Source organism: Homo sapiens, chromosome 10 (assembly GCF_000001405.40).
Source record: "Homo sapiens chromosome 10, GRCh38.p14 Primary Assembly".
Classification (NCBI taxonomy): domain Eukaryota; kingdom Metazoa; phylum Chordata; class Mammalia; order Primates; family Hominidae; genus Homo; species Homo sapiens.
This window is the reverse complement of record NC_000010.11, coordinates 102324070-102336726: the sequence shown is the minus strand read 5'-3', so window position 1 is coordinate 102336726 and position 12657 is coordinate 102324070. Positions and strand designations below refer to the sequence as shown.

General features: G+C 43.7%; 1 protein-coding gene across 38 annotated transcripts in view; it reads right to left on the bottom strand.

Annotated features, from left to right (window-relative positions):
- The window catches only part of GBF1 (golgi brefeldin A resistant guanine nucleotide exchange factor 1), a 152254-nt gene that overhangs the window by 46170 nt on the left and 93427 nt on the right, over positions 1-12657 (bottom strand). The window contains exon 1 of one of the 38 annotated variants that reach the window (XM_047425975.1): positions 4201-4224. The exons of the other annotated variants lie outside the window; for them this stretch is intronic. The gene's annotated coding sequence lies outside the window, so the exon portion shown is untranslated. Of the gene's footprint in view, positions 1-4200; positions 4225-12657 lie in introns of those variants that run through there. 38 annotated transcript variants of the gene reach the window in all.

The following is a 12657-nucleotide window of genomic DNA, read 5'->3' as shown; positions in this document are numbered from 1 at the left end:
AGTATTGGAACCAGGACTAGAAGCTAAGGGCTCTAGGTAGAATCATGGGCTTTCGTGGACGATTCAAATCCCAGTTCTGCAACTTAATAGCTATGTGACTTTAATTACTTAAGTGTTCTGGGTCTCTAATTTTATTACTTGTAAATGGGTATTAGATAATTTAAATAAATTACATTTAAAATAAATAATAATAGCAACTAACATTCACTGAGCGTATACTATGTGCCAGGCATGGTATTAAGCAATTTACACACTATCTCATTTGATGCATGTAAAACACTTGGTACAATGCATGGAATAAAGTGTATAATAAAGATAACTAAGATATTGTTCTAGTTTTTAGCTCTAGAGTCACAGCAGTCCAGTGTTCTCTATATTGTATACCAGTTCATTTCTTTCTTTTTTTTTTTTCTTTTTTTTTTTTTTTGAGACAAAGTCTCGCTCTGTCACCAGGCTAGAGTGCAGTGGAGTGATCTTGGCTCACTGCAACCTCCACCTCCCCGGTTCAAGTAATTCTCCTGGCTCAGCCTCCCGAGTAGCTGGGACTACAGGCACATGCCACCACACCCAGCTAATTTTTGTATTTTCTAGTAGAGATGGGATTTCACCATGTTGGCCAAGATGGTTTTGATCTCCTGACCTTGTGATCTGCCTGCCTCGGCCTCCCAAAGTGCTGGGATTACAGGCATGAGCCACTGCACCTGGCCACCAGTTCATTTCTTAAGATTTAAGTAAATATATATATAAAAATTCTACCTTTGACTCCTAAACCATAAAACAAACACAAGTTAAGGATAAATACTGAGATAACGGGTGGTTGATATTTACGGTACAATTTGGGATAGCACTTTTAATTTCTGAGGGCTTCAGCTTTCTCCAAGGTATCAGAGAAAGAACAGGCTTCCTTTTAATAAAATGAATTATTAAAGTACTCATTAACATTTATTACCTGCGCCATGCCAAGTGCTATGCACTTTACATACCTTCACTCTTCATAATTAACCCCATTTTGAAGATAAAAATGAGGCTTGGAAAGGATAACGAGATGTCCCCACCAGCTAAGATCATAGCACTAGCTAGTAGTGGAAACAGGAATCAAATCCAGGTCCATCCAACTCCAAAAGCTCTGCTCGTAGCCATCCGACTTTACTGCTTCCTACAAGGCTAGAACAGAAAGGTTTCTGGTGTCCTATCTCACGGTTCAGCCTGGCTGGGAACTGAGATTCAATTGTCTGGATCTTCTCCAGAAGAGTGAAAACTGCCTGAGTCCTTCAGGAGAAAAGTGCCATGATTCTGCTCATAGTAAGCAGGCTGAATAATTTCACAACCAAGGAGACATCTGACACCCCAGCCAAGCAGCCAAAATTCCCGCCCTGGAAGACTGTCAACCTCAAGGCACAAACAGTCCAGTAAACACAGAGTGCAGATTAGGTAGAGAGGTGCTCTGAAGGTGACTGGTCCATGTTCTAAGATGAGCCAGTCATCTGGGGGAAAAAGGGCACAAGGAGGGGAAATCTAACCCCCCATTGGAGAAAACACTTCGGATCCTTCCAGAATCAAATCCGGATCCAATTTCTGGACAGTCAGTGACAAATTACAACAAGAATTATTAAATTATTTCTGGAGAGGCTCATGAGTCACTTCAACCCAAAGCAAAGTGAAGCCCTTTGGAGATGTCTTGGTGGTGGTCTGCTCATACTGTACTCAATACGACTGGGCAGGGTGCTTCACTCCCCATATTATGACATTAAAACAGAAGTGTCAATTTGGCCCAATGTCTGTCTGAGAATCTGCAGATGTCCCACACCTCTTGTCTTCCCAAATGATGAGGTGACCTCTCCAAAATGGGGATGAATCTTGACTTTTTTTTTTTTTTTTGAGACGAAGTCTCGCTCTGTCACCCAGCCTGGAGTGCAATGGTGCAATTTTGGCTCACTGTAACCTCCGCCTCTCCGGTTCAAGCAATTCTCCTGCCACAGCCTCCCGAGTAGCTGGGACTACAGGCGCAAGCCACCACGCCTGGCTAATTTTTTGTATTTTCAGTAGAGACGGGGTTTCACCGTTATTAGCTAGGATGGTCTCGATCTCCTGACCTCGTGATGTGCCCGCCTCGGCCTCCCAAAGTGCTGGGATTACAGGGATGAACCACTGCGCCCAGCTGAATCTTGACATTATTTTCTCTTCTCATGTCAGAGCTGCTACCATCTCTGATAATCTATGTCAAAGGCCTCAACATGTGGCCTCAAGCACTGCCCTTGGACAAAACAGAATACTCTCCTAAGCTACAAGGGAACAGCCACCATCCTCCCAGGAGGCTGTGTTCTCCAGGCCGCAGCAGCCTTTTCTCATTTGGCCAGCATTGGGCTGGCACATTCCTGAGCCAAAATGCACACATAAGCTGCTTTCCCTGGTAGCAAAGCTCTTCACTCCTGAGTGACTCTTATCAGGGGCAGTTGGGCATTCTCAATTGGATTACGCTGACAAGGAAAAAGGCCTGCGGTATGTTATTTCAACACCATTTGGCTTCAGAAATGCCTGTCTCGACCTTTTTGCCCTCAGAGTCTACTTCTCTCTTCTTGCTTTCTAGAGGGTCACCAGCCTGCTCCCATGCATGTTCTTTACCCTGCAAATATTGGCCCATGTTCCTGGAGACAGAATGCCATCATTCACAAGATGGATCATGTATAACAGACTAATAAATCATAGCATGATAAAAAAAGAAATTAGTTCATTTACCCCTCTAACATTTCTGTATCCAGAGACAGACGACAAAAGCTTTTTGGTTTTAGGCTTTTCTGTCTGTATCTGTACATTCCATTTTAGGAGAAAGTGTTAGGTCTCATATGCTACTTTTCTGACTATGCTGTACACCCCAGGAATATATTTCTTGCAAAAGTCAAGATTGATAGTGATCTACAAAAATGTCTGATGTATGGTAAGCTCCGTAGGAAGAAGCTGTGTTCTTTTTGGTCACTAGAGGACATCAAGAGTAGTGGTCCAGGCCAGGTGTGGTGGCTTACACCTGTAATCCCAGCACTTTGGGAGGCTGAGGTGGGAGAATCACTTGAGCCCAGCAGTTCGAGACCAGCCTGGGCGACATAGTGAGACTTCAGCTGCACAAAATATGAAAAAATTAGCCAGGCATGCGCACCTGTGGTCCTGGCTACTCAGGAAGCTGAGGTGAGCCCTGATCATACCATTGCATTCTACCCTGAGCAACAGAGTGGAACCCTGTTTCAAAAAGAAAAAAAAAAAAAAGAGGGGTAGTGGTCCAAAGAATAATCAAAGCTAAACTTTGGCAAAGCCAGAAGCCTCTGGAATAACTGCCAAACCTCCCATACCTTCGTTTATCAGCTTCAAAGTTTTCCAGACCTATGAATGGACAGGTGGGAATTTAGGCTTGGTTCAGGAACGGATTCCAGAAAACACTGTCAACGGACAGGTCCCATACCTGTATTTCCTAGCCTGGGCTTAAGGGTCAAACCCAGATAGACCCTGCCCTATACAACAGGAGATATGAAATAAAGAAATGCACTAGGCCCAATTCTGATTCTGTCATTAACTGTGTGACCTTGGGCAAAAACACCTCATTTCTCTGGGCCATAGTTTCCTCATCCATTGGGATTTCCTGGGGAAGGTGGTGGTGGTGATAGTAATTTAACTAGATTCTTTAAGGTCCCTAAAACTTATGATTCTAAATGCAAAGTACCATTTGGAAGTAAATGCACATGAATGCAGACAGTCTAGCCTGGAGGGAAGGCAAGTCCTGTTTGTTTGTCTAAGCTCTTCACAGTGGCTCTTTTCTCAGCTATCACACAACAGTTTCTCAGATCTGCTTCTTTTTATCAAACACATTCTTAGCTTCTCAGGATGCTTCTAGACTTAGGGGGCTATTAACTTTGACATTATGATTTTTAAGAGACAAAGTATGATTATGGCTTAATCATTGCTGCATCAAGGTAAAAATCAGGATCCATAGATCCACTTAGGGCCAGCAGTAGAAGATAATGGTACCAACCACTTACATTGAAAAAGGCAAATTAGGCTGGGCTTGGTGGCTCACGCTTGTTATCCCAGCACTTTGGTAGGCAAAGGTGGGCGAATCACTTGAGGTCAGAAGTTAGATACCAGCCTGACCAACATGGTGAAACACTGTCTCTACAAAAAATATAAAAATTAGTTGGGCATGGTGGTGCGCACCTGTAATCCCAGCTACTCTGGTAGCTGAGGCACGAGAATCGCTTGAGCCGGGGAGGCAGAAGTTGCAGTTAGCCGAGATCATAACATTTTTACTCCAGCCTGGGTGACACAGCAAGACTCTGTTTCAAAAAAAAAAAAAGGCAAATTACAGTTGACCCTCTGTGTCTGTGGATCCAACATCAGTGTACACGATCAACCACAGATCAAAAATATTCAGAAAAATTAAGTGGATGGTTGCATCTGTACTGAACATCTACAAACTTTTTCCCTTGTCATTATTCCCTAAATATGGTATAACTATTTACATAGTATTTATATTGAGTTAGGCATTACAAGTAATCTAGAGATGATTTAAAGTATAGGGGAAGGCTGGGTGCGGTGGCTCACACCTGTAATCCCAGCACTTTGGGAGGCGGAGGCGGGTAGATCACTTGAGGTCAGGAGTTCGAAACCAGCCTGGCCAACATGGCGAAACCCTGTCCCTACTAAAAATACAAAGATTAGCTGGGCGTGATGGCAGACGCCTGTAATCCCAGCTATTCAGGAGGCTGAGGCAGAAGAATCGCTTGAACCCAGGAGGCAAAGGTTGCAGTGAGCCAAGACTGCGCCACTGCACTCCAGCCTGGGCGACAGAGCCAGACGCTGTCTCAAAAAAAAAAAAAAAAAAAAAAAAAATTAGCCAGGTATGGTGGCGTGCGCCTGTAGTCCCAACTACTAGGGAGGCTGACGTGTGGGGTGGATCACTTGAGCCCAGGGATGTCATGGCTGGAGTGAGCCATGATGGCACCACTGCATTCCAGTCTGGGCGACAGAGTGAGGCCCTGTCTCAAAAGACAACAACAACAAAAACAAACCCTTTGGAAAGTGTTCACTTTTCTGGCTGATCAATCCCTCAAAGGTCAACCCACCCTGTTTTTCTTCTCTCTCTCTTGCCCAGGCTGGTCTTGAACTCCTGGGCTCAAGCAGTCCACCCACCTTGGCCCTCAAAGTGATGGGACTACAGGCTTGAGACACCGTGCCCAGCCCCAATCTGTTTTTTTTAATGAATCAAAACCCCAAACCTTAACTCTCTGATTAAACATGAGGAGTTCCTGAATGTATACACCTTGAGGTTACATTTAAAGTCTGAAAACCCCAGGGATTAGAAATCATAATTTTATATTTTCTCCAAAACTGCCACTGATAAGTACTTTATGGAGCATCATGTTCATGAGGCCCCAACCTAACCCAGAGATTATGTAAGAACTCCTCCTCCCTAGATACCTGGTGCAAAAAGGTTCAAGATGACCATGACAGAAAATTATTTTTGCCATCTATATATGCTCTCTGGCTTGAACACCTTTGTCAGGACCTTGCCCCCATCTCCATCCCTATAGCAGCTCAACCTCTCCTTAGAGAGAGGATAGGAAGAGGATATATTTTTTCAGGGTCAAAATCCCTAACAGCATGTGTATCTCAGAGCAGGCTGCTTTCCGTAAATCTCTGCTCCTGAAATCGTCATTTTTGCCATCGTCTCCTTGCTGAGTGAGGCTGCCCTGGTCTGCCTCAGGTCAGATTTAGCCTCCACTTTCAAAAGATAAGACAGGCACTTAAAGGCAGCATACACATGGGAAAATAGTTTATTGTATGATTTTGTCCAATATGATGTATGAATCCTGATTAGAAGAGGAATGAGTTTCCTACCTTGGGCATTCCTGCTAAATAGCCAGATTAACTTGTTGCTAGGAGCTGCTATCTACCACCCTCACAAGAATCCCATTTCATTGCCAGAACAACAACCTTAATTTGCCTCAGACATCAGCAACAGCTACATTATATTATTTTTATTTATTTTTTTTTTGAGATGGAATTTTGCTCTTGTTGCCCAGGCTGGAGTGCAATGGCGTGATTTCAGCTCACTGCAACCTCCACCTCCAGAGTTCAAGCGATTCTCCTGCCTCAGCCTCCTGAGTGTAGCTGGGATTACAGGCGTGTACTACCACACCCAGCTAATTTTTGTATTTTTAGTAGAGACGGGGTTTCGCCATGTTGGCCAGGCTGGTCTTGAACTCCTAACCTGAGGTGATCTGCCTGCCTCAGCCTCCCAAAGTGCTGGGATTATAGGTGTGAGCCACTGCACCCGGCCAGCTACATTATATTATTAAACATAATTACCATATATAATTTTATTTTATCCTCCCAATAACTCTGGGAAATAGTGTTACTGTCCTCACTTTACAGATAAGGACACCGAGGCTCTAAGAGGTTAAGTGACTTACCCAAGGTCACACAGCAAGTGGAAGAGATAAAATTTGAATCCAGGTCTATTGTGACTCCAAAGCCACTGTATTATACTCTTCAATATTATACCATGCTATGGTACAGGGGGCTTTTTGTTTGTTTGTTTGTTTTGAGACAGAGTCTTGCTCTGTTGCTCAGGCTGGAGTACCATGGTGCAATTATAGCTCACTGCAAACTCAAAGTCCTAGGCTCAAAAGCAATCCTTCTGCCTCAGACTCCTGAGTGGCTAAGACTACCAACTCCTGAGTGGCTAAGACTACTGGCATGTGCCACCATGCCCAGCTAATTTTTTAAATTTTTTGTAGATAGGGGGTCTTGCTATGTTGCCCAGGCTGGTCTTGAACTCCTGGCCTTAAATGATCCTCCTGCCTCAGCCTCCCAAAGTGCTGGGATTATAGGCATAAGCCACTGTGCCTGGCCTATTGTATAAGTTTACTACTAGATATATTAACTGCATGACTTGGATGACAAAAATTTAAAACTTGGCCGGGCTTGGTGGCTCACACCTGTAATCCCAGCACTTTGGGAGGCCGAGGCAGGTGGATCATGAGATCAGGAGATTGAGACCATCCTGGTTAACACGGTGAAACCCTATCTCTACTAAAAATACAAAAAATTAGCCGGGTGTGGTGGCGGGCACCTGTAGTCCCAGCTACTCAGGAGGCTGAGGCAGGAGAATGGAGTGAACCTGGGAGGCGGAGCTTGCAGTGAGCCGAGATTGTGCCACTGCACTCCAGCCTGGGAGACAGAGCAAGACTCCGTCTCAAAAACAAAACAAAACAAAAAATTTTAAAACTCAACCATCCTAGAACTGAAGTTTCTTCTGCACCTCTCCTTCTCCTAACCAGTGACTAAACATTGTTAGTTATTGCTTGTAGTACTGCCATACAAATTAAGTGTCAGGTTTACCTAGGTTCCCTCCTAATCCAAAGAGGGAGAGTGAGGCCCCTTTAACAAGGCTGGCAGGGATAAATGAGGCCCACAGGGACTGGCCTCAATCATATCTCAGAGACCCAAGGACAGACTGATCCATCTGTCTTACTGAAAGCACAAGTTTGATGCGTATCAACCTTAAATACTAGTTCTCTTCTTTCTAGAGGAAATTGGCACATATTGAAAGGCAAGCAATTCAGCTATAGCATACAGACAAACCAGAGCTACTGTGGCCCTTCACTCTGCCTTGTTGTTTTCTGCATGCACTGTAGAAGACCAAGCCCCAACTTAAGCAGGCAATCTGAAAGCCCAGGAGAAATTAAAAACTTCTGTTGGTATACTTGACAACAGAACAATTTACCCCAGCTTTATGCAGTCATTACACTTGGAGCAGCTTTTTCAATACAAATTCCTTTCAGAGTCTAGTAAAAAATTTCATTGTTCAACAGCAGCATTATAGGTTTATTATCAATTATAACTATGTCAGGTCTTCTCTACCAGCCCTGAAAAAGACAAAGAGGAAATTAAAAAGAACTAAATTCTGAACTGACATTAGCAAAGTTTACAGATGATGAAAAAGCCTGAAGAGATAATAGTCAAAGCTCCTGGAGAAGAATCAGACAGTCCCCAGTCTCAATAACAGGACTGATAAGTAACCTTTCCCTATCCCTTCAGTGTATAGGACCTTACTTATTCACTCTCACTTACTGTACTATCAGAGTACAGAGTTAATGTTTTCCCAAGAGCTGGAAATAGTTACTACAGCAGCATATCATAAATTCTTAGTGACAACAAGACTAAGGGGTCTTTTTATTTTTATTTTTTTTGAGAGAGGGTTTCACTCTGTCACCCTGGCTGGAGTGCAGTGGCACAGTCTCGGCTCACTGCAACCTCTCAAGTAATCCTTCCACCTCAGCCTCCCAAGTAGCTGGGACTAAAGCGTGTGCCACCACACTTGGCTAATTAAAAAAAATTTTTTCTTTGTAGAGACGAGGTCCTGCTATTATTTCCCAGGCTGGTTTTGAACTCCTGGGTTCAAGTGATCCTCCTTCCTTGGCCTCCCAAAGTGCTAGGATTATAGGCATGAGCCACTGTGCCCAGCCAGATTAAGAAGTCTTTATGCTGTTTCAGCCACCCTCATGCTAAAAGGCTCAAGAACTTTATGATAAGGGATATTTCCCATTTTACTGATGGGGAAAACAAAAGCGTCAAAAATAGATGGAGCTAGGATAAGTATGGTAATCACTTGCCACTGCTGTCTCTAGACATGTCTGTGAGCTGGACAGTAAACAAATAAAGCTTATGGAAGCAGCAGTACCCTGAAAAGTCACACCTTATTTGCTCGAAAGGTGCTGACAGAACCTTTAAGACAGCTGAATCTGGAGGAGCAATCCTCAAAGGGTTGGAAAACAATTTCACAAAACATGGGACAGAAGCTGGGCCCAGCCAACACCTGTTTCCCCAACACTGTCTGTCTGTCTGTCTCTTGTTTTATCCCAACTGCACACTTAATACAAAAGCTCCATTATTCTGGTAAAGTTGCATTCCAGCCCAGAGTGCAGAGTTAATGTTTTTTACAGCCACATGCCTTCTTGTGACGGATGACCACTTTATAATAAAATACTTTATGCTCAATCAACTTACAAATAATGGGTATTCCATTACATGGCATTTAAAACACAACCAAATTCAGAAAAATCCAGAAAGAAATAAGAATAGAAACAAGAATGATTCCTAGAAAGAGAGGAGGGCCGCCAGAGAATCCTCTGTAAGTCCTTCACTCCCAAAGAATTTATCCATTCTCTTATTGAAGGATATTTGAGTTGTTTCCAGTTATTTACTATTACTGCTGTATACATTCCTATAAAAGTCTCTTTGTAAATGTGTTTGTTTCTCTTGACTAAATACCTAAGAGCGAAAGTGCTCAGCCACAGGGTAGATGTGCATTTAACTTTAAAAGAAACAGTTCTTCAATGTTGCTGCACACCCCTCCCCTCTCCACCAGCTCTATATTTTCCTCCCCTAAGGGCCTAGGTTCTTTAAGTTGAGGATTTGGCAGGAGAGAAGAAGCCACATCATGAGGATCCCTGCTGCCAGAGCACAGTGGCCTGAATCGGACACTTAAAAAGCTGAAACAGGTGTTTGAAACCCTACTCCAGCCTCCCTGTTTGGTGCCAGCCCCCTGAGAGGCTAAGGCTTGGCCAGGAGAATTCGGCTCATCTAATGGATGCCGATTAGAGACTTTTACAAGACATAGCTACATAATAGTGTATATGCTGTGACGTGGTACATTTAAAGCAGGTAAGTGAACATCTTAATCTTAAGGAGGGGGGCCTCTGGTGGTCCAAATGCTCTTGAGCAAAGGGTAGTCAGGCTACGTGCCAGATGAAAGCCCTTCACCAACCTCTACCTTTTCTCCTTATATATCCACACAATTGACTACCACTCAGAAAAGCAAAACAGAAAAAAACTACTGATATATGCAACATGGATAAATTCCAAAAACATGCTAAGCTAAAAGAAGCTAGCTATGAAAGAGTATATCCTGTGTGATTCCATTTATATGAAATCCAAAAACAAAACTTATCCATAGTGATAGAAAATGGTTTTGTATATATGTGTGGGGTTGGGGGACTCAAAGAGGCATGGGGGATATTTCTGGGGAGATGAAATGTTCTGTGTATTCTTTATTCATGCTGGTTACATGGTTTATACAATTATCAAAACTTACCAACTGAACACCTAACATCTGCATATTTTATTGTATGTTAATTATACCTCAAGTTGAAAAAAAAGGAAAGCCAGATGGGGGCTTGGGGTGAGCTTCCCCTACTTGGTATTATTTGGGAGAATGAAGAAAGAACAGAAGAAACAAGTTTGCTTCCCAACTCACCAGTCTGGGAGCAGAGACTCAACAGCCAGCTGAACTGCCACCTCAGTGCCCCTTGGGCAACCTTTGTAGAAAAATGAGGTTTTCAGGTGGTAGCTTATAATATTCTCATTGAAGCCCTGTTACTCCCCAAGGGAATGATATTGAAATGTCTTCAACAGTGTTTACTTCCCCATTGCTAAAAGTATGATCAGCATTCCAATTTAGAAGCAAGTTTACATACTTGGCGTAAACTTGCATACTAGGCCCTGAGCACTTAGAACTCAGATAGCGTTCAAAAAAATTAAATTATAACCATAGTAATAGACAAGTAAGACAGATCTTTAGTTCCAGAGCTGCCACTACTCCGTTATGAGGCCTTGCATGACATGACCTTTTCCGAGCCACAGTTCTTTCCGTATAAAATAGGCCAGGTGACCTCTATACTTCATTTCAGTTCTAACACTGTATGATTTTAGAACTCTTATAAGTGTAGGCTGGGCGCAGTGGCTCACACCTATAATCCCAGCACTTTGGGAGGCCGAGGCAGGTGGATCACTTGAGGTCAGGAGTTCAAGACCAGCCTCGCCAACATGGCAAAACCCCATCTCTACTAAAAATACAAAAATTAGTTAGGTGTGGTGGCATGTGCCTGTAATCCCACCTACTCGGGAGGCTGAGGCACGAGAATCGCTTGAACTCAGGAGGCGGAGGGTGCAGTGAGCCAAGATTGTGCCACCGCACTCCAGCCTGGGTGACAGAGTGAGACTGTGTCTTAAAAAAAAACAAAAACAAAAAAAACTTTTGTAAGTTCATATGGGTTCCAGTATGAGACGGGCAAGGAAAGCCCTATAGTCCTTCTCAGCATTTTTTCTTTCTTTTTTTTTTTTTTTTGAGACGGAGTCTTGCTCTGTCGCTCAGGCTTGGAGTGCAGTGGAGCAATCTCAGCTCACTGCAACCTCCGTCTCCTGAGTTCAAGCAATTCTCCTGCCTCAGCCTCCCAAGGAGCTGGCATTACAGGTGCCCACCATCACGCCTAGCTAATTTTTGCATTTTTAGTAGAGACGGGGTTTCACCATTGTTGGCCAGGCTGGTCTTGAACTCCTGACCTCAGGTGATCCGCCTGCCTTGGCCTCCCAAAGTGCTGGGATTACAGGCGTGAGCCACTGGGCCCAGCCCTTCTCAGCATTCGTATAGAGACTTGTCCTTTAGCTTAATGAGGACCCCAAGAGGGATTCTGCATATCATGTGAAATAACTCCTCCCTGTAACGCACTTAGGGAATTAGATTCGGGGAGAAAAGCAACAAACTTTAGTGAAAAGCTGCTACCATGGCAAACACCCAACATGGCATGGCACAAAAGAAGAGTAGATAGCCTCAGAATCCAGAGGTAAAGACTGGAGAAGAAAATAATCATATGTAGAGTGCATACTGTGGAGAGGGTATGCATTGTACTAGGCACCTTATACACATCAACTCATGTAATTCTCACAAGAATACTATAAGGCAAGTTTTTATATTATTTTGCAGATGAGAAAATGGAGATTCAAAAAGATCAGCCAGGTACAGTGGCTCACGCCTGTAATCCCAGCACTTTGGGAGGCAGAGGTAGGCAGATCACTTGAGGTCAAGAGTTTGAGATCAGCCTGGCCAACATGGTGAAACCCTGTCTTTACTAAAAAATACAAAAATTAGCCAGCCGTGGTGGCGGGCGCCTGTAATCCCAGCTACTCAGAAGGCTGAGGCAGGAGAATCGCTTGAACCTGGAAGGTGGAGGCTGCAGTGAGCCAAGATTGCGCCACTGCACTCCAGCCTGGGTGACAGAGCGAAACTCCGTCTCAAATAAAAAAAAAAGATCAAGTAACTGCCACCAATGACTGCCCAAGACCACCCAATGGTAGAGATGGGATATGAAGCCAGGTCTATCCAACTCCAAAGTCTATGTCTTTTTCCACAATCATTTAGCAAGAAGTAAGTTGGAGATCCTAGATCCCAAAGGAGCCTGGTAAAAGCCTGGCATTTTTTCCTTCTTACAAATAACTCATTTCATATTTCTTGGGTAGCCCCTGGCATTCCCTACACAGAAGAAAGGGTTAAACCTACAGTTAGGAAGAGGAAATTCCCTGGAAAACTGAAACACATGCTGTGGCTCTGACTAAATTTCACACCCATTCTGTTGAGCAACGTCCATAGTGTGTGAGAAAAGACTCTAGCCCTGCCCCGATCCTTTATGCATTCCATCACCTGCTGCTTTCCTTCAGACTAAGGGGAGAGAGAGGAAGGGAGGAAGACTATATATACATCTTTGCTTGGTGCGTATTTAAGCCAGAGGTTAGCAAATCCAGGGTAGGAAGAAGTATTTTGTGAAAAAAAGA